The sequence below is a fragment of the Homo sapiens genome, chromosome 2 (genome assembly GCF_000001405.40).
Source record: "Homo sapiens chromosome 2, GRCh38.p14 Primary Assembly".
Taxonomy (NCBI): domain Eukaryota; kingdom Metazoa; phylum Chordata; class Mammalia; order Primates; family Hominidae; genus Homo; species Homo sapiens.
The window spans coordinates 175948566-175972052 of NC_000002.12; the positions used below are offsets into that span (position 1 = coordinate 175948566).

Consider the following 23487-nt stretch of genomic DNA (forward strand, 5'->3'; position numbering starts at 1 on the left):
CCCACCAATATTTTACTTGAATGTCAGTGGTAAGATTTCACATAAAGAAGCCTTTATACTTTTTCAATTCTACCTATCACATTAAATTATCACAAATCCTGAATTAGTGAGCTGAAACTAAGTAAGTAATTTTTAATTGGCATAAATAGTAAAAATACATATGTCCAGAAGCAAAACACTTGGACTTTATTTGACAGTTAAAGAATTACATGAAAGTTCATTGCAATTGAAAGTACAGCTCTAGCATCAGATCTTAGTTCATCCCAATCTAGTCTACTAGCTAAGAACCAGGGCCCTGCAGTTAGAAAGATTTGGTTGGAATCCTGGCTCTGGCTACATGACTTCAGATAGGTTACTTAACTTTGATAAACCTGTTATTTTATCTGTAAAATTAGGATAATATTAACTAATTGTTATGAGAATTAAATATGATAATGTCTGCAAACTGATAGCTCACATTTAATGAATACTTATTTCAGATGACAGTTTTTGTACACAACTAAGTATTTTCAAATGATTTTAGCTAAAATTACTGGGATCAACTAATTTTCCATTGGTTCACAATTTAGTCTTTAACCAAGCCATGGCAATAATAAATTATAAGCACAGTATCATTATATAAATGGAACCATCTTTATATTTTGCTACTTTCCATGCAATTTATATAGAAAATTTCAGCTGTTACCTGAACAAATCATATCCTAACGTCTGCAAATTAGCTGCTAACTTTATTTTTTACTCACAAGGAGCACCTTAATAGGTGGTTGCATATTAGGAAAGCCATTAAATGCTGCAAAAGGTACTGAAATCAATAAAATCATATTAGGATTTGATAATTTAAACTACTCATTTAAAAATAAGGCATCAAATACTGTAAATCATTTTTCAGCCAACTTTCAGGTAAAGCATAACTCAAAAAGTGGCATTTTTCTTCCAGATAAATGAAAGTTTAGCATTTATTAGACTATATAAAAGCAGCTATTATCCTTCCTCTTCACGAAGACTTGAGACTACTTCCTCTAAATGTGCATTTACCCAGTGAAAATTACCTGAAATGCTTTTACTATCACTAGTACACCACTGAAAGGAGACTAGCTAACAAAGGACACCATGTCAAGCATTCCATAAAAGAGATGTACCTTAATAATTCTAAATCTAAATTTAGGAAAAGGGGGAAAATGTTATAGCAGAGTTACAAAAGGGAGAAAATGTAGTTTCATCATTTTCAAAGGAAAAGCAAGTATCAAGGGTTACAATATCTTCAATAGTTCAAAATAACAAGGTACCAAATCTGTATTTGTCAAACTATTATAAAATGTTCTGGTAGTCTCAATTTAAAATACCTCAGATTTATCTACTTTTAACTACTTGTGATTCATAAAGTTTTGTATTAATTACTCTAAAAAGTTTCCAGTACTCAACAAAATAGTCATATTAGATATGTTCAACATTTCCTGCCTTAAACGTAAGATACAAAGCCCCCAAAAGAGCCACCAAGCATTCCACATGAATCTGGCAAAAAATCATAAGGAGCATGCCATAAGGTTAATTCTCAACCGTAGTATGTTTTAACACCCTCATCAATGATCAATGACCCAACAAAAATCATACTCACTGAGGATGATGACATGCCTATATTAGGTTTAAATTCAAAATGAAGCAAACAGACCCATCACCAAGTTCTTTTCAAAGAGGTTACTTATTAAGGGTTATGAATAAAGGTTGGTTAGTGGGTACAAAAACATACATAGGAGGAATAAGAGCTAGTGTTTGACAGTACAGTAGGGTGACTACAATTAACAATAATGTGTCATTCAAAATAGCTAGAAGAGAAGAATTGGAATGTTCTCAACATAAATAAAAGATAAATGTTTGAGGTGACAGATATCCCAATTACCTTGATTTAATCATCATAAATTGTATGCAAGTATGTAACCCCAAAAATATGTACAATTATATATCAATTAAAAATGAAGCAAATAGAATCCAAATGATATATTTTTAAAACTACTATATTAAACAGAAGCTTAAATTAATGATAAAACAGCATAGCTGTGCAAAGCAAAGACTCTGGGACCAAATGGTCATAATTTTAGCTCCACCCTGTTTACTAGATGTGTATGCTACCTTTTCCAAGTTGATGACATCACTCAGTTCAGCTTTCTCATAATGCGAATACTTACCTCTTATGCTTGTTGTAAAGATTAAATGACAAAATCAAGACAAAGAACTCAGCCAAAGCACATGCGAAGTACTTAACAGGCAATAACTATTAGCAGAAATAGTGCATATCTAAAGGTTCCAACGATTATTATAAATCAAAAACTAAGCAATCTAGAATTTCTAAGGCAATTATTTAAAATATATAGATACTAATTTACACATTAAATGTTCCCTTAGTTATTTGTGAAGTCATTTACATGTATAAATTCACAACTTATATAAAAACTTAAATGTATAATTCTAGCTTGCCATTAAATAATATTGGGATGAATGTTTTATAATACAAATACTCGTCCCTTAATTTATCAGATTTTTTAAATACTCTTTTTATGCTGCTAGAAGGTTTTGTCTTTGTTCTATTATCAAGCTGTGGTAGGAAGAACACCATACAATAATTAGGAGGCCTGGATTTTCATCTAGTTAATAGTACCAGTTCCTTTATTATTTCCATAGGTTACTGAGGAACAGGTGGTGTTCGGTTACATGAGTAAGTTCTTTAGTGGTGATTTTAAGATCTTGGTGCACCCATCACCCAAACAGTATACACTGCACCTATTTGTAGTCTTTTATTCCCATCCCCTTCCCGCCCTTTCCCCTGAGTCCCCAAAGTCCATTGTGTCATTCTTATGCCTTTGCACCCTCACAGCTTAGCTGCCACTTATGAGTGAGAACATACGATGTTTGGTTTTCCATTCCTGAGTTACTTCACTTAGAGTAATAGTCTCCAATCTCATCCAGGTCACTGTGAATGCTGTTAATTCATTCCTTTTTATGGCTGAGTAGTATTCCATCATTCATATATATATATATATATATATATATCTCAGTTTCTTTATCCACTCATTGGTTAATGACATTTGGGTTGGTTCCACATTTTTGTGATTGCGAATTGTGCTGCTATAAACATGTATGTGCAAGTATCTTTTTCGTATAATGACTTATTTTCCTCTGGGTAGAAACCCCATAGTGGGATTGCTGGATCAAATGGTAGTTCTACTTTTATTTTTTAAGGAAATCTCCATACTGTTTTCCACAGTGGTTGTACTAGTTTACATTCCCACCAGCAGTGTAGAAGTGTTCCCTGTTCACCACACCCACACCAACATCTTCTATTTTTTTAATTTTTTTATTATGGCCATTCTTGCAGGAGTAAGGTGGTATTGCATTTTGGTTTTGATTTGCATTTCCCTGATCATTAGTGATGTTGAGCATTTTTTCATGTTTGTTGCCCATTTGTATATTTTCTTTTGAGAATTGTCTATTCATGTTCTTAGCCCACTTTTTGATGGGATTGTTTTTTCTTGCTCCTTACGTGAACTAAAACCCCACTAGGTTCCAAATTTCCTTAATATGAGTGTTGGCAAAACTACAAAGGCAATATTCATATTTTCCCTAGCACTGGTCAAAGGCTTTCTGAACTCCCATGTCCAGTTCTAAGACTCATAAGAGAAAATTTCAGAAATTGGATTTTAGTAATGGGGGTGGGGGAATCTTTAAGCCTATTCACATATGCAAATGTGGAAACTCTTAGGGTGAATTTTGCTTTTTGTAATTGTGAAAAAAATTATACTATAGTATAATTTTATACTATAGTACTATAGTTAGGGCACAGGGATATATTTTCAGGTAAATTTCTATTGTTTTCAGTTCTGTATTTTTTAACTTATTTGAATGTAATTCCTTTAAATAATCAAAATAATAAAGACATCTCTTCCTTCTACTTTCAAAACTTTCTGAAGTCCATGGTCACTGTATCTTCTGTTCACATCCACTCATACTAAGCTGCTCCAAATTCACCTTCTACCCTATTTCGCTATTCAAATTGTACTCTCAATAGGTCAATGTCTTTTTATTGCTAAAAAATGACTTTATAACCTCTTCCTTCCTATAGAGGCAAAGCTTTTTGAAAAACAAAAAAAAAAACTTCTCTGCATTTCACTTCTTAACCCAACTCAATCTGGTTTTTGTGCTCCTTTTTAGCTACCACAGTATTACCCACCACTGAAAGTATCACTGCTTTGGTCACCAACAACATTATAATACCACTACTAATGTTGCATTAACATAGCTACTCTTTATCAAATCCCTATTTTCTGCTAGGAACCATGCTAGGCACTATATATGAATTTACTAATTTCATCTACTATTTATATCAATCCTTTGGGGTAACTCCTATCCCCAGTTTTCAAAAGAAGAAACCAAAGTTCAGTGGCCAAGTAACTTGCTAAAATTCTCACAGTAAAATAAGAGATGGAGCCAGGATTCAAATTCTGGTTTTTATGACAAAAATGCCCATATTCTCTGTGTTATGCAACCTGTCAAATTCAAAGGCCTCATTTCAGTCTTCTACTTACTACCAATCTAGCTCTACTTTTGACTCTGATCATTCATTCTTTTTCCTGGGCTCTTCTTTCTTCATCTACTCTTAAATGTCAATGTTCCCTGTAGTTCTGTCTTAGGTGCTCTTACTCTATTTTCTCTCTCTGGGCAATTTCACTCAATCTCATATTCCAATAATAATCACCTATGCCTCCCAATTATTTCTAATCTGTATATCTATAACCTCAACCTTTCTCCTGAGCTCCATATGAAATAATCAACTACCTATGAACCTCAGCATCTTGCTATAACTCCCATTCAACAGAACCAAAAGTAAATTCATTATCTTCTACAGAAACCAGTATTCCAATTATGTTCTTTATCTGGCTTAACATACTAACACCTAAGCAGTTGTCCAAACAAAAACGTAGGTCACATCTTGATTCTTCCTCCCACCCCCAACCCCTGCCCCGCTTTCCAAATCTAATTGCCTGTATCAATCTACTCCTGAATTATCTCTCAAATCTCTTCTTTTTCCCCAACGCTATTGCTGTAACCTTATCTAGTACAGGCCTTTATCTTTTAACTATATTAGATGATATTCCTAATTGTTCTCTATGGCTCAGTCATATTCTCTCCAATCCAACATAACCTCCATGTTACTAAAAAAAAAAAAAAAAAAGTATTCTTCATAAAATGCTAACTTGATGTAAAATTCAAAGCCTCCATTGACTTTATATGTTGTGTATAAGATAAAGTCCTGAACTCCAGAACTATACTACATAATGATGCAGAAAAAGCCCTTCATAATTTGATCCCTCCTTCATATGACCCCTACTTTCCTTTTTCAGGGATATGGCAATATTTGTAGTGCCTCGAGGTGCCAAGTTGTTTCTCTCTTCCAGTGCTTGCACACGGAGTAAATCCTTTACCTGAAGAGTACTTTTTCAATCCTATTCTCACAGCAAATTATTATTAAAAGTTATAATGCATTGTAATTTGTGCCTATCTTCATTTTGGTCCTTACCATACCGTTTATTACATGTGTATACCCCTTTTAATCAAAAGCTAATAAGCAGGAACTACATCTCTGTAGACACATGATGTGGGAAAGGTAACTGGTACAGAGTATGAGCTTAATAAACACCTATGAAATCAATCTATTTTCCTCTTGCATTTCAATGTTAAATTTCCAACTGCCTGCTACCCAACTTATTTAGAGTGATAAACAGGAAAATGGCCTCTCAAAAACGTCCCCATCTTCTTGTCCATTCTGTAAATATGTTACATGCAAGGCAGATAAAGATTGCAGATAGAATTAAGATTGCTAATCAGCCTGCTGCATTTAGAATCTCAGCTTAACTTCAGAAGTCCATACAGAAAAGCTATCTTTAAGCAGAAAGTTTTCTATTAATAATAATATATATCACTTGCCAGCCTTTAGTTGAGTTTGTTCTTTTGTTCTGCTTTTCAAATTAAAAATACATTTTGCTTTATAGTTCTTTGTCTTAACATTTACTTTCCTTTATCACCTTAATAATTTATTTTTGATCTGGCCTAACTTCTAGCAATCTCAACATTAAACAACATGAACCCTGCAGTTCACCAAGGTCCTATTTGGTAAATTACTATTTTATAACATTTAAACAAAATACAGCAATGCCAAAATAAATGTTTACTTTTATTTTCTTCAACTCATTTATTAAGCAACCACTAAGAGTAAAGCACCAGCATAAGCACATTGAAGGGGATTCAGAGTTGCATATAGAGGTAGCAAGCTAACTTTAAGATAAGAAAAACAAACTCACTAAATATTCTAATACAAGCTAAATGCCATATAATGGGAGCCAACAAAGTACTATAGAGTGAAGTGAGGACTTCACAAGAGGTGAGGACTGACAACTTAGTCATCTAGATGGGCTGAAGAAAGGGTTTACAGTGATGATGGCATTTGAGATAAACAATGAAAACTGGATTGGGATAGAAATGCCTTTGTTATCTATATTAAAGTACATGTGGCAGTTTTAAAATAAGACTCCAAAATCCTTTGATTCTCCTTTCAACAAACGGGAGCAGAGGGTGTCTGTGTACCCTCCCCTTGAAATTGTACTCTGACAAAGAGAACAAAGTTGTGCCAGAATCCAGGACTTTTTGTCTCCTATGCTCCCTGGTCTTGGAACCTGCCACCAGGGAAGAGTAAGCTCAACTGACCCGAGAGAAGTCCATGTGGAGAGGAAACAACAGCCAGCACCAACTTGCCAGCTGTGTAAACCACCTTGATAGTAGATCCTCTAGCTCAGTAAAGTAGCTCTAACTGATGTGAGACACAGATAAGCTGTCTCCACCAAACCCTAGCCAAGCAAATTTCATGAGCAAAAAAAGAATGCTGTGTTAAATCACTAAATTTCAGGATGGTTTGTTATATACTAAACAATTGTAACAGTATGAATTTGATACTTATGTAAAGAACATCCAAATTTCTTACAAGGCAAATTTATTAAGGTGAATTTATTATTTTATAAGGCATTTTTCACGTTCTCTGAATCAAACACATGCCCAAAAAACAGCAAAATATAAAGTATTGCTCCATTTGGTATAAAGATCAAAAAAAGATCTATAATTTCTACTTTAATTTTCAATACATGCTATGGAACACAAGTGAGTAAACTCTAAAACCTACTGAAATAAGAAGTTGTACTCTATTTGCTAAAACCATTAAATGTCTCTGCAAAAATAACTGATTTTGAATTTAGCTGTGGCAAGATACAATTGACTTTTCTTTTGTTACATTTCATTAGTAAAGGTGCAGGGCTGAGTACAAAAGGCAAAAGAAAATGTATAGGTGGTGTCCTCCTAGAAAACAATAGGAGGGTCAGTTAAGGATTTTTTAGGCTGGGCGTGGTGATTAAGGCCTGTAATTCTAGCACTTTGGGAGGCCGAGGCTGATGGATCGCTTGAGCCCAGGAGTTCAAGACCAGCCTGGGCAACATAGTGAAACCCCATCTCTACAAAAAGTTAAAAAATTAGCTGGGCACGGTGGTACATACTCGTAGTCCCAGCTACTCAGGAGGCTGAGGTGGGAGGATGGCTGGAGCCCAGGATGTTGAGGTCGCAGTAAGCCATGATGACACCACTGCACTCCAGCCTGGGTGACAGTGAGACCATGTATTCAAAAAAAAAAAAAAAAAAGATTTCATTTTTAGGGCATCCTCCAAAAATCTGATCATTCTCCCTATTTCAATCATTTACTCCTATGGTGATAACCTATTCCTATAACTTTGCAACCAGAAATAACTGATCACTTCTCAGGTTTAAGCATCCTGTTCTCCAACCACTAACCTCTCAGCTTACCTCCTCCAACTGCAAGATCTATAACCCATTAATTATTAATAGGTCAGTGAACATTTTTGGAAAGAGCCACATAATAAACATTTTAGGCTTTGCAGACCACATAAGCTCCTGTTGCATATTCTTACTCTTTATTTTTTAAAATGCTTTGAAAATGTGAAAACATTCTAAGCTGAAGAACCATAAAACACAGGTCTTGGCCTACATTTGCAGGTTGCAGTTTGTGGATTCCTGTATTAATACTACCAACACCTTTTGACTGTCCATCACTACCACTCATGTCTTTATTTCCCTCATAATCGTCTTAAATTCCATAATCCATTGTGATAATGGCTCGCCTACAAACAACTTCAGCTCCTGGCCCCCTTATCAAATTATCTAACACATGAGGCAAAACCCCAACCCTGCTTAAAACCAACCATTTGCCTACTCCATGCTGGCACCTACACGGGTGACTGTAACTGGAAAAGCACACAGAATCCTGCATTAAATTTATGACTATTCATTTTAAGTAGCCTTTAGAGTCCCCTGGCATTATTCCATACCTTTTCTTCAAGCCTCCAACATTATCTCCCCCAACCTCATCCTCACTAAGAAAATAGAGATACAATCAGAAAATTGGCTGGGCGCAGTAGCTCACACCTATAATCCCAAAACTTTGGGAGGCTGAGGTGGGCAGATCACTTGAGGTCAAGAGTTTGAGACCAGCCTGGCTGACATGGTGAAACCCCGTATCTACTAAAACTACAAAAATTAGCCGGGTGTCATGGCGGGCACCTGTAATCCCAGCTACTCAGGAGGCTGAGGCAGGAGAATCACTTGAACCTTGGAGGCAGAGGTTGCAGCAAGCCGAGATCACGCCACTGCACTCCAGCCTGGGTGATACAGTGAGACTTCATCTCAAAAAAAGAAAACATCTCAAAAAAAGAACCCAGCCACCTACCTATGTCTTCCCATGTTCTCAGACTTTCCTCATTGCTAAAGATGAGCTATCACACACTTGTCAAAAGCCGACTTCTCCACTTGTATACTAGATCACATCCCCTCTTGCCTACTCATGGACAGTTCCAAATCAATTCTCCCTACTCTCTCCTCCATCATTAATTATTCCACATGGATACTATTGCAGATCATTCCAAGATGCCCGAATAGGAACAGCTCTAGTCTGCAGCTCCCAGCACGATCAACACAGAAGACAGGTGATTTCTGGATTTCCAACTGAGGTACCTGGTTCATCTCACTGGGACTGGTTGGCCAGTGGGTGCAGCCCACAGACGATGAGCTGAAGCAGGGCGGGGCATTGCCTCACCTGGGAAGTGCAAGGAGTCAGGAGATTTCCCTTTCCAAGCCAAGGGAAGCCGTCACAGACACTACCTGGAAAATCGGTACACTCCCGCCCTAATACTGTGCTTTTCCAACAGTCTGAGCAAACCACACACCAGGGGATTATATCCCGTGTCTGGTTTGGCAGATCCTATGCCCACGGAGCCTTGCTCACTGCTGGCACAGCAGTCCGAGATCCAACTGCAAGGCAGCAGCCTGGGGTGGGGGAGGGGCGTCTGCCATTGCTGAGGCTTGAGTAGGTAAGCAAAGGGGCCAGGAAGCTCGAACTGGGTGGAGTCCACCTCAGCTCAACCAGGCCTGCCTGCCTCTGTAGACTCCACCTCTGGGGGCAGGGCATAGCTGAACAAAAGGCAGCAGAAACTTCTGCAGACTTAAAATGTCCCTGTCTGACAGCTCTGAAGAGAGCACTGGTTCTCCCAGCATGGAGTTTGAGCTCTGAGAACAGACAGACTGCCTCCTCAAGTGGGTCCCTGACCACTGTGTAGCCTAACTGGGAGACACCTGCCAGTAGGGGTCGACCGACACCTTATACAGCCGGGTGCCCCTCTGGGACGAAGCGTCCACAGGAAGGATCAGGCAGCAATATTTGCTGCTCTGCAGCCTCCTCTGGTGATACCCAGGCAAACAGGGTCTGGAGTGGACCTCCAGCAAACTGCAACCGACCTGCAGCTGAGGGTCCTGACTGTTAGAAGGAAAACTAACAAACAGAAAGGAATAGTATCAACATCAACAAAAAGGACATCTACACCAAAACCCCATCTATAGGTCACCATCATCAAATACCAAAGGTAGATAAAACCACAAAGATGGGGAGAAACCAGAGCAGAAAAGCTGAAAATTCTAAAAACCAGAGCACCTCTTCTCTTCCGAAGGATTGCAGCTCCTTGCCAGAAAAGGAACAAAGCTGGATGGAGAACAACTTTGACAAGTTGAGAGAAGAAGGCTTCAGAAGGTCAGTAATAACAAACTTCTCCAAGCTAAAGGAGGATGTTCGAACCCATCGCAAGGAAGCTATAAACCTTGAAAAAAGATTAGACAAATGGCTAACTAGAATAAACAGCATAGAGAAGACCTTAAATGACCTGATGGAGCTGAAAACCATAGCACGAGAACTACGTGATGCATGCACAAGCTTCAGTAGCCGATTTCATCAAACAGAAGAAAGGGTATCAGTGATTGAAGATCAAATGAATGAAATGAAGCAAGAAGTTTAGAGAGAAAAGAGTAAAAAGAAATGAACAAAGCATCCAAGAAATATGGGACTATGTGAAAAGACCAAATCTACGTTTCATTGGTGTACCTGAAAGTGATGGGGAGGATGGAACCAAGCTGGAAAACACTCTTCAGGATATTATCCAGGAGAACTTTCCCAACCTAGCAAGGTAGGTGAACATTCAAATCCAGGAAATACAGAGAATACCACAAAGATACTCCTTGACAAGAGCAACCCCAAGACACGTAATTGTCAGATTCACCAAGGTTGAAATGCAGGAAAAAATGTTAAGTGCAGCCAGAGAGAAAAGTCGAGTTACCCACAAAGGGAAGCCCAACAGACTAACAGCAGATCTCTCAGCAGAAACTACGAGACAGAAGAGAGCGGGGGTCAATATTCAACATTCTTAAAAGAATTTTCAACCCAGAATTTCATATCCAGCCAAACTAAGCTTCATAAGTGAAGGAGAAATAATATCCTTTACAGACAAGCAAATGCTGAGAGACTTTGTCACCACCAGGCCTGCCTTACAAGAGCTCCTGAAGGAAGCACTAAACATGGAAAGGAACTAACGGTACCAGCCACTGCAAAAACATGCCAAATTGTAAAGACTATTGATGTTTGGAAGAAACTGCGTCAACTAACAAGCAAAATAACCAGCTAACATCATAACGACAGGATCAAATTCACATATAACAATATTAACCTTAAATGTAAATGGGCTAAATGCCCCAATTAAAAGACACAGACTGGCAAACTGGATAGAGTCAAGACCCATCAGTGTGCTGTATTCAGGAAACCCATCTCATGTGCAGAGACACATATAGGCTCAAAATAAAGGGATGGAGGAAGATCTACCAAGCAAATGGAAAACAAAAAAAAAAGCAGGGGTTACAATTCTAGTCTGTGAGAAAACAGACTTTAAACCAACAAAGATCAAAAGAGACAAAGAAGGCCATTACATAATGGTAAAGGAGTCAATTCAACAAGAAGAGCTAACTATCCTAAATATATATGCACCCAACACAGGAGCACCCAGATTCATAAGGTAAGTCCTTAGCAACCTACAAAGAGACTTACACTCCCACACAATAATGGGAGACTTTAACACCCCACTGTCAATATTAGACAGATCAACGAGACAGAAGGTTAACAAGGATATCCACGACTTGAACTCAGCTCTGCACCAAGCTGCCTTAATAGGGATCTACAGAACTCTCCACCCCAAATCAACAGAATATACATTCTTCTCAGCATCACATCGCACTTACTCCAAAATTGATCACATAGTTGGAAATAAAGCACTCCTCAGCAAATGTAAAAGAACAGAAATCACAACAAACTGTCTCTCAGACCAGGGTGCAATCAAATTAGAACTCAGGATTAAGAATCTCACTCAAAACCACACAACTACATGGAAACTGAACAACCTGCTCCTGAATGACTACTAGGTAAATAACAAAATGAAGGCAGAAATAAAGATGTTCTTTGAAATCAATAAGAACAAAGACACAACATATCAGAATCTCTGGGACACATTTAAAGCAGCGTGTAGAGGGAAATTTATAGCACTAAATGCCCACAAGAGAAAGCAGGGAAGATCTAAAATCGACACGCTAACAACACAATTAAAAGAACTAGAGAAGCAAGAGCAAACACATTCAAAAGCTAGCAGAAGGCTAGAAATAACTAAGATCAGAGCAGAACTGAAGGAGATAGAGACACAAAAAAACCCTTCAAAAAATCAATGACTCCAGGAGCTGGTTTTTGAAAAGACCAGCAAAATAGATAGACCACTAGCAAGACTAGTAAAGAAGAAAAGAGAGAAGAATCAAATAGACACAATAAAAAATGATAAAGGGGATATCACCACTGATCCCACAGAAATACAAACTACCATAAGAGAATACTATAGACACCTCTATGCAAATAAACTAGAAAATCTAGAAGAAATGGATAAATTCCTGGACACATACACCCTCCCAAGACTAAACCAGGAAGAAACTGAATCCCTGAATAGACTAATAACAGGCTCTGAAATTGAGGCAATAATAGCCTACCAACCAAAAAAATTACAGGACCAAATGAATTCACAGCTGAATTCTACCAGAGGTACAAAGAGAAGCTGGCACCATTCCTTCTGAAACTATTCCAAACAATACAAAAGGAGGGAATCCTCCCTAACTCATTTTATGAGGCCAGCATCAGCCTGATACCAAAGCCTGGCAGAGACACAACAAAAAGAAGTTTAGACCAATATCCCTGATGAACATCGATGCGAAAATCCTGAATAAAATACTGGTGAACTGAATCCAGCAGCACATCAAAAAGCTTATGCATGATGATCAAGTTGGCTTCATCCCTGGGATGCAAGGCTGGTTCAACATATGCAAATCAATAAATGTAATCCATCACACAAACAGAACCAAAGACAAAAACCACATGATTATCTCAATAGATGCAGAAAAGGCCTTCGACAAAATTCAACAGCCCTTCATGCTAAAAACTCTCAATAAACTAGGTATTGATGGGACGTGTCTCAAAATAATAAGAGCTATTTATGACAAACCTACAGCAAATATCATATTGAATGGGCAAAAACTGGAAGCATTCCCTTTGAAAACTGGCACAAGGCAGGGATGCCCTCTCTCACCACTCCTATTCAACATAGGGTTGGAAGTTCTGGCCAAGGCAATCAGGCAGGAAAAAGAAATAAAGGGTATTCAATTAGGAAAAGAGGAAGTCAAATTGTCCCTTTTTGCAGATGACATGCTTGTGTATTTAGAAAACCCCATCATCTCAGCCCAAAATCTCCCTAAGCTGATAAGCAATTTCAGCAAAGTCTCAGGATACAAAATCAATGTGCAAAAATCACAAGCATTCTTATACACCATTAACAGACAAACAGAGAACCAAATCATGAGTGAACTCCCATTCACAATTGCTTCAAAGAGAATAAAATACCTAGGAATCCAACTTACAAGAGATGTGAATGACCTCTTCAAGGAGAACTACAAACCACTACTCAACGAAATAAAAGAGGACACAAACAAATAGAAGAACATTCCATGCTCATGGATAGGAAGAATCAATATCGTGAAAATGGACATACTGCCTAAGGTAATTTATAGATTCAATGCCATCCCCATCAAGCTACCAGTGACTTTCTTCGCAGAATTGGAAAAAACTATTTTAAAGTTCATATGGAACCAAAAAAGAGCCTGCATTGCCAAGACAATCCTAAGCAAAAAGAACAAAGCTGGAGGCATCACACTTCCTGACTTCAAACTATACTACAAGGCTACAGTAACCAAAACAGCATGGTACTCGTACCACAACAGATATATAGACCAATGGAACAGAACAGAGGCCTCAGAAATAACACCACACATCTACAACCATCTGATCTTTGACAAACCTGACAAAAACAAGAAATGGGGAAAAGATTCCCTGTTTAATAAATGGTGCTGGGAAAACTGGCTAGCCATATGCAGAAAGCTGAAACTGCATCCCTTCCTTACACCTTATACAAAAATTAATTCAAGATGTATTAAAGACTTAAATGTTAGACCTAAAACCATAAAAAACCTAGAAGAAAACCTAGGCAATACCATTCAGGACACAGGCATGGGCAAGGACTTCATGTCTAAAACACTAAAAGCAATGGCAACAAAAGCCACAATAGACAAATGGGATCTAATTAAACTAAAGAGCTTCTGCACAGCAGAAGAAACTACCATCAGACTGAACACGCAATCTACAGAATGGGAGAAAATTTTTGCAATCTACCCATCTGACAAAGGGCTAATATCCAGAATCTACAATGAACTCAAACAAATTTACAAGAAAAAAACAAACAACCCCATCAAAAAGTGGGCGAAGGACATGAACAGACACTTCTCAAAAGAAGACATTTATGCAGCCAAAAAACACATGAAAAAATGCTCATCATCACTGGCCATCAGAGAAATGCAAATCAAAACCACAATGAGATACCATCTCACACCAGTTAGAATGGCAATCATTAAAAAGTCAGGAAACAACAGGTGCTGGAGAGGATGTGGAGAAATAGGAACACTTTTACACTGTTGGTGGGACTGTAAACTAGTTCAACCCTTGTGGAAGTCAGTGTGGCGATTCCTCAGGGATCTAGAACTAGAAATACCATTTGACCCAGCCATCCCATTACTGGGTATATACCCAAAGGACTATAAATCATGCTGCTATAAAGACACATGCAGATGTATGTTTATTGCGGCATTATTCACAATAGCAAAGACTTGGAACCAACCCAAATGCCCAACAATGATTGACTGGATTAAGAAAATGTGGCACATATACACCATGGAATACTATGCAGCCATAAAAAATGATGAGTTCATGTCCTTTGTAGGGACATGGATGAAATTGGAAATCATCATTCTCAGTAAACTATCACAAGAACAAAAAACCAAACACTGCATATTCTCACTCATAGATGGGAATTGAACAATGAGAACACATGGATACAGGAAGAGGAACATCACACTCTGGGGACTGTTGTGGGGTGGTGGCGGGGGAGGGATAGCATTGGGAGATATACCTAATGCTAGATGACAAGTTAGTGGGTGCAGTGCACCAACATGGCACATATATACATATGTAACTAACTTGCACATTGTGTACATGTACCCTAAAACTTAAAATATAATAAATAAATTAATTAATTAAAAAAAAAGAAAAGAACAAAGACAAAAGTCATTGCAAACTCAGAATATCTTTTCCCATGCCAGTCTGGGGAATATTTTATGTAACCACTTAATATAATGACGGTTAAAATTTTATATAACATTTAATGATGTAATAGTAATGACTTCATTAATAATATGGTAATACAAGCTCAAAAATAGTTAACATTACACAGCGATAATTCAATTTTCATTTTTCTTATTTCTAAATTATTTTATTCTAAAGTGTTATTTTAGAAAAAACAAAATTTCACAGAAATCATAACATTTTTCAAAAATAAAACATAAAAATGTAAGGATTTTCATAATAACAGATATTCCAAGAGACTATTATTTGAAAGTGGGAAATATTTACAAAATATTGATGAAATTATTTAAATTTTAAAAGATTAAAACCAATGATATATTTAATCTCAATACATATTTGACATCCTAACTTAACATATTCCCATAAAATCAAAATGAAATAAAATTATTGCCATCCACCCTAAGTCATATCCCAAATTACCAAATATAAATTTACACAGAAGCATTCTACATAAGTTTTTGCACACCTCCAACACACTTTTGAACTCACTTGGGTAATTATGGATCTTTCCAACAGCAGCAGCAGTTTCTACTAAGTTATTTACCTTGTCCAGGTCTTGCAGTTACAGCTGCTCCAGCAGATGGCGGCTCACACTCCTGTCAATTATAATAATGTTATTACAGTGACCTATTACAATGTGTAATTTATAATAAAATAGTAGTGATATCACAGTCTTACCTTTGCTTTCTTTGAGTCCGGATCAAACCTTTCAAGAATTAATTTAGCCGTCTTGTAAGTTTCTTTTTCCATGACTTCTTCAAGCTACGAACAAAAATTTCCATAAATTGTCACACTTCAAAACACACACTACTTATTTGTATAAGTCCTATTCAAAAAGGTTTAAATATCCTTAATATATCCAAATAGAATGAAAGACTTCCTACATTCGAATAATTAAAATCCAGATTTTAAAATGGCTTCTAACCTCTAATATGTTACTTGTACTTAACAGTTTTACTGCAAGGAAATACCAAATATTGCTAATTGTTTACATATAATGAGGAGAATAATTACATGCACCAACTTCAATAATGGAATGTGCAAAAATCTATCAGCCATCATTATTGGAAGTTATTAGACATGACAAGCAAATGACAGGCAATTCCTCAGATTTATTTCCTCATAGCACTTAATGCTATTAATTTAAAGAAGGTCGTTAGCCAAGAGCTTTACAAAATAAAATCTCTGTGCCAATTAACTGCTGTCAGCATCGATTTTAGATTATTTATTAGCAGAAGCAATTAGCTTGCTGCAAATGCAGTGAAAACTCACTAACTGGGAGAACAGCCATGGAATTTGCTCAAATGACTTTAAAAGATAACCCTCACCTCTTTTTTACTTAGACTCAAACAACTTTAGAGGAAAAAACTGAGCACAGAATTTAAGCAAAAATTTTACTGAGTTCTATGTTCACACTAGGGACTATAATTAAATCACTTCATTATTGTAACGTTTTATTTACCATGCACTCAAGTCACTTTATAACTTAATACATGGGTTTAACTTAAAATATAATCACTAGTAAAGTATCACTAGCAGTTACGGCTAGTTCAACATCAGAAAAAGTTGAACTTTAGTACAAGACAGTCATAGTAATGACAAATTACCTAATATGTAGGATAAAGTGCTTTTGCAAAAATTGGAAAAGAACCTTTTCTTTCTCAGTGACCACTGATAACCACTAAGATTCATTAAATGTCATATTCATTCCAAAGGACATTTATTTTAAAATGCAACCCAAAGCACATTTACTGAGTTAAAAATATGCTGCCACAATAGCAGTTAACAGATTCCTCATTAAACACTCAATTCGACATTTAAGAGGTAGGTACTTAGATGAATGATTTATTAGCCTTGCCTTGGTTTAATGAAACTAAAATATTTTCCTATTTCAAAATTATTATAAATTCTCAAAATAAACAAGTTGACTTTTCTGATGTAAAGGAGATGTTTATAGTATCACTTTAGAGTTAGAAAAAAAAAAACTAGGAACAGAGGTAGAAAGAGGGCATAATAAAATACATCCCCAAATCAACATAATCTACATGGAATATCAAAGAAGCAAATCCCTGATCTCTACACATTAGACTTTTGATTTTTTAGCAGTGTTGTGCAGTAAAACTTTATGTAATGATGAAAATGGTCTATGTCAGCGTAATAGTAGCCACTAAGCCCTATGTGATAAATGAGCACTTAAAATGTTGCTTGTGCAACTGGGGAACTGAATTTGTACTTTTGTTTTGTTTCATTTTGTTTTGTTTTAGATGGAGTCTCACTCTGTCACCCAGGCTGGAGTGAGTGGTTTCGGCTCACTGCAGCCTCCACCTCCCAGGTTCAAGCGATTCTCTGCCTCAGGCTCCCAAGTAGCTAGGATTACAGATGCGCGCCACCACACCCGGCTAGTTTTTGTATTTTTAGTAGAGACGAGGTTTCGCCATGTTGGCCAGGCTGGTCTCGAACTCTTGGCCTCAAGTGATCCACATACCTCAGCCTCCCAAAGTGCTGGGATTACAGGTGTGAGCCACTGCGCCCAGCTGTAGTTTTATTTCATTTTAAATAATGTAAATGTAAACAGTCATACTGATTTGGACAGATAACTCTAGACTAAAACTACTACTAGGTTTAAAAAGATTAAACTGTGATCTTTAAAACAACACACAAAACTCCAAACCAAAATGCTACTTTATCGAATGATTGCATTCCTGGTAGATTATTCAGCAAGTATTCAAGTGTATCTATGTTTTTATTTATCTTAAATAAAATCAGTTTTTAAGTACTAAAAGATACAAATCTATTTCCCATTTTTTGCATTTACTTCTAACAAAATATTTTCATATAATAGCTTAATTAACACACATCCATACAACATTTAAGTAATAATATGTTTTAAATACACTGTTCAGTGCAAAGAACATGAATTTGAAACTTCAAAGTGAGAAAAGATCTGGGTTCAACGCACATTTCTATTCTTAGAAGATTGTTAGCACTTTGTCAGCCTCAGTTTCTCCTCTGCATAGATATTTTAATACTTTCTTCATAGCACTACTGTGCAATTTAAAAAAATATAATGTAGGAGAAAGAGTCCACAACAGTGCCTAAAATATTAACATAATTTTCAGAGACATCTCAATTACTCAGAATGGGCCTGAAACAAACTATTTCCAAAAACTCAACATATTAACCTCAAGATTCAGGAACAAGAAACTAGAATTCTTGAGAATTCTCTCATTCAAGCTTGTCCAACCCTTAGCCACCAGCCACATGTGGCCCAAGATAGCTTTGAATGCAGCCCAAAACAAATTCGTAAACTTTAAAACATTATAACATTTTTTTGCAATTTTTTATTTTTGAGCTCATCAGCTATCGTTAGTGTTAAAGAATGAATCATTTTTCTGTAATACGGTTGTACTAAAGGTTTTAGGGGCTTTTTTATTTTAAAAGATAGAATAATAAATACATGATTCTATTAAGAGTCAACATTGTGATGAGTTATATTTCTATAACATGTAAAAATTATTTCTACTGGATACAGCCATTACATCATAGAAAACATTAAAAGGGCACACTAGCACAAAATAAATGTGAAAAAAACTTTTTAAGTTTTGAAAGACAATTCTACAAATATTTAATACTAAAATTATCATTCTTGAAACAGAATTTTAAAACGCACAAAGCATTAATTTCCCTAACCAATATTTACTCATGAAAAATATTCCAGATGTAAGAAAACTTTCTTTCATTTCTTTCATTTTGCATTAACTTTGCAATTCAGAGTATTAGGGAGCATGTTATACCATATAAACTCATCCTTTTATCATGCTGAAAATACTGTCTGGTATCCCTGATTTGAGGTTTGCTGTTGAAATTGATGATGCTTTTACTAATTCAGATGTTATATCATTTTCTTTCATATAAGAGTATTCCACAATAATAGTCACATCTTTCTTCTTTGCATTTCTTCTGTTATTGTGTAGCCTAAGGTGAATATTCAAACACTGGGAAAAGCCAGAAAACATTACTGGGTAATACAAAAATGTAACATTTTAAGCCGCTATAAGGTTAAGAACTCTATAGAGAATAAAAGCTAAAATTGCCAATTTAAAGACTTCTTTTGCTTCCAAAACTTATTTCATGGAATATCACGCACAGGATTTGTACAAAATATACTTTATACATTTATATAAATTATAGTAGGTATATAAACATTTTTATTTGCAAGAATGACTCACCATTAATAAGAGAGTGCCATAAATGCCCACAAAACTGATTAGATTGTACCACTTCTCTATGATTCTGTACTGTTCCCAGAAACGTCAACATTAACCTGTAACTCAGCATGTCAGAATTTCTTGCTCTTGCCTTCAGCTGACATTAGTGAATTCCTTTGAACTAGTAACATCTGTAGTTGATTGTTAAGCTTTAATTCTCAGGGAACTATAACACTTTTCCTCATGTTCCCAATTTCTCAAGTGATTTTTCTCAAGATTCAGAAAAACACAGATTTCCCAAGGAATGCTGGAAATTACCACATAGGACTAATATTCTGAAAAAGCACAAAATTTTCATGAAGCCATTTAAAGAGGTAATCTTGACTCATGTATTTTGATAGAGCTTGATTTTTGAACTGTTTTGAAGGAATGCTCATGGATGCAGAGGGATTATCTGCTTGCACAGATTACTCAGTGATTATTAAAAACTCAAGTTTTGTTAAAGGGCCACAAAATACGTGAATGGTAAAATGCACACAGATCTAGACTTGGGAATTTTTTAGATAACTAAAGATTACTTCCTAACTTTATAATAATAATACTTACATTAAGCTCTTAAAATATTGTTAAGATGCTCTTTCCTAATTTACTTTTTAATCAATTGATAATTCATATCTGTCATTACAAATTACAATTTTACAAATTTCAAATTACATTACAAATCTATTCAGATTAAAGGGATGCATCCCCAAGGAAACCACTTTTAATAAAATATCAAGTAGTGACCAGCATGGCCAACATAGTGAAGCCCCGCCTCTACTAAAAATACAAAATTAGCCAGGTGTGGTGGTGCATGCCTGTAATACCAGCTACTTGGGAGGCTGAGGCAGGAGAATCACTTGAACCTGGGAGGCAGAGGTCGCAGTGACCCGAGATTGCACCACTGCACTCCTGCCTGGGCAACAAGAGCAAAATTCCATCTCAAAAAAAGAAAAAAAAAAAACCAAAGTGTAAAACTACTCAAACAAAGCAGCTCTGTTAAAGGCTTGAACAGTCAAGATCACAAACTAGTTCGAGTAGCAAACAGTATTATAACCAACAATAATCAAGTAAATGCAAATTGTGTTTAATTAATAAAGTGAATTAGAGCCAACATTTTTCTTTAGTCAAACTGCAAGAGAAATGCCATATTGAATTATTAATATTGATGCCTAATGAACCATTTAAACTTGCAGAGCTATTGAACTCAACTTTTTCAACTGTTGTCAGACTTAAAATGAAACATCTTTTATGTTGCGATTCCTTTAAAGGCTATTTAAAAAGTAGTAAATAGCTTGACTTATCCTTTCACACAATTTTCCAAGTCAGCTCTGTTACTCTATTGAGAGATTTTCCCAAATCATATGTTCTTCAAGATCCTGTTTTCTGGCCATATGATGCCAGTGACATTGGGCTGCTTCTCATCACTTAGGACTTTTTTCTTTTCTGCTTTCCTTTGTCTTCCTCTTCATCTTTTCTACTTTAACTAATATTTCTCCATTTTGGTATAAGCAGGACTTGTCTCTGATCACCAGTACCAGCTCTTCTTTTTATCTCATCAGCAAGTCAAACCAATCATATCACAACTTCTAAATCACTGACACCATCAGTATTTCCTCACTTTGAATTTCTGGCTGTTCCATAATGTGCAGAATAGCAGAAACATAATAATAAGATATTTCTGTGTTTGGCAATTTAGGACCACCAAAATTGCCAATGCAGTTTTGATAAATACCTCACAGGACACCCAATAAGGAGCAAACAAAGCTAAGGAATCCTTTCAAAATTAAAGTTCTCTTACTTTTCAGGTACTTAAAGCCCTTAAAACCAGTATCTATTATCATCAATTCACAGAATAATTTTTAACATTAGTCTTAACCTTCACAATATTGGTTTCTTAATTATTACTTGTTACATACTAGACTAAAATATATTGAATTGATCATTTGTACCTGATTAAATTTTATTAAATACATTTCTATACAACATAATACTATCAGCAGTTATCATTTTCACACTTCAAAAATAATCATTAAAAAATTAGTAGCTCTATGTCAAACACCAACTTCAATTCACTTATTACAGACTACTATGTATCAATATCTAGAGCGCCTTCTGTCTTACTCTTGGTCCTCTTTCCAACACATCTGAAGGGATGCATCAACTAGCCCCACAATAGATATCCATGTGATCAGAGTTACTGATAGAAAGTGGAAAACTCTGAAGAAAACAATTATCTCTCTCTCTCTCCCATCTCTTCTTCAGTATTTTCATGTTGAATTGCTCTCTTACAACCGATCTTCTTGATTCCCTCTCTTTCTTGGTGTCAAGAAAACCTGAGAACTGACACGTGGAGATATTTTGTCCTTTTTTATTTAGCTCTAATAAACAATCTGGTACCCACATTTTTACCCTCTCTGCCTCATTTAGGCCTCCAATATGACTCATTTACTTACTTCTCAGCTTCCAACTGATACAGATTCTCAGAATCTCAAAAGTCCTTCTAAACTACTTTTTCCTGTCAATCATTATTAACTAGCAAAAATATTCACAATTTCACTTCATCATTAAAATGCTATCTAAAAGCATATTTCTTCCTTGGAGAGTTATTAACTTCCAACACATAAACATTAATTATTCAGTTCTTATTAGTTTAATATAAATTAATTTTAAATAAAAGTTAACTTACTATTTTTTTCCTCTGGGATTTTAAATCATCCAATGCTTCATCTAGAAAGCAAGATTTAAATCAAAGATTAAGATATTTAGATATAAGAAAAAATCACGCCAAATGACACACGGTAGCAAACACAAGAAAACTTTCTTATTTTAGGATTTTTCAAAATTTAACTGATGTGTAGAGACAAAAATTATCTCCATCTTCACCCACATATAGTTCATATTTTTGCCTGTATTATATATTATAGGCCATTGAGGTGAAAAATTGACTTTACATAGTATAAAGCACCTTTCTAAATTGAAATATATACAAATACTTTTTAATGTGTTCAGAAACATTACTTTCTACTATTTCTTTTTCCTTTCAACACCTCACCCACATTAATTTACAAAATTAGTATCAAATCTCTTTTTATACACTGGTAATAAAAATGTTCTCTTTGTTTATAAGGAAATAAATACATATTTTACTTAGTCAAGCCTGAAGATATTAAGCACGACTTTTTAAAAAACCTAGAAAATCTACCTTATTGCATCTGAGAAGGGACATGGAAAAAAATACTAATAACTTTCCAAAATTAAACATTTCTAAGATTTGCCCGCTTATATAGGTTGGCATGGTGGAACAGAAAGAATCACCTCAGAGGATATCTTTTATGAATGTCAATGTTTGATTTACAAATTATTTAAGTTTCTAGTTTTTCTCTAGAAATATTTAACTAATACAGATTGAAACACTATTCCCTAAGGAAAGCAGAACTTATGGCTTGAATATTATCAAATGAAATGTAAATAACTGTTCTTAATACTTAATTAAATTTATAAATAAAATTATTACTTCTTCACTGAAATTCTAGGTAACAAATACCTGAATACCCAACTCAAAGTACATCATTTATGTAAAAATTCAAGGAAACACAAACATATAAAAAGATGATTTTACTATAAAACTTTTTTCAAAATAGATTAAGCAGTCTTTAATGTGATAGCTAACTTGTTACTAAAAGCAGAGGAAATCTGCTAACATCTTCAAAGAGAATAGTAATTTTTTGTTAGATAAGACCAAGCCAAACATCTGTACTTTAATCCAAGGGTTAGCAAACTTATTCTGTAAAGGAAAAAGTAAGTATTTTGGGCTTTATGGGCCAAAAAGCAAAATCAAGTCTGTATTTTTTTGTTTTTTGAGACAGGGTATTGCTCTGTCACCCAGGCTGGAGTGCAGTGGCATGATCTCGGCTCACTGCAGCCTCTGCCTCCAGAGTTCAAGCAATTCTTATACCTCAGTCTCCCAAGCTGGAA

General features: G+C 35.7%; 1 protein-coding gene across 11 annotated transcripts in view; it reads right to left on the reverse strand.

Moving 5' to 3' along the window:
- Positions 1-23487, reverse strand: part of LNPK (lunapark, ER junction formation factor) — a 78939-nt gene that overhangs the window by 24684 nt on the left and 30768 nt on the right. For 10 of the 11 annotated variants that reach the window (NR_130941.2, XM_006712783.3, NM_001305011.2 and 7 more), the window contains 3 exons: positions 22199-22239; positions 15941-16024; positions 15807-15858 (listed from right to left, as the gene is read on the reverse strand). Coding sequence is in view for 10 of the 11 variants with exons in the window: in XM_006712783.3 (XP_006712846.1) it covers positions 15807-15858; positions 15941-16024; positions 22199-22239 (177 nt within the window). In the remaining variant the exon portion in view is untranslated. Of the gene's footprint in view, positions 1-15806; positions 15859-15940; positions 16025-19056; positions 19258-22198; positions 22240-23487 lie in introns of those variants that run through there. The other variant, XM_005246880.4, reaches the window with a different exon arrangement.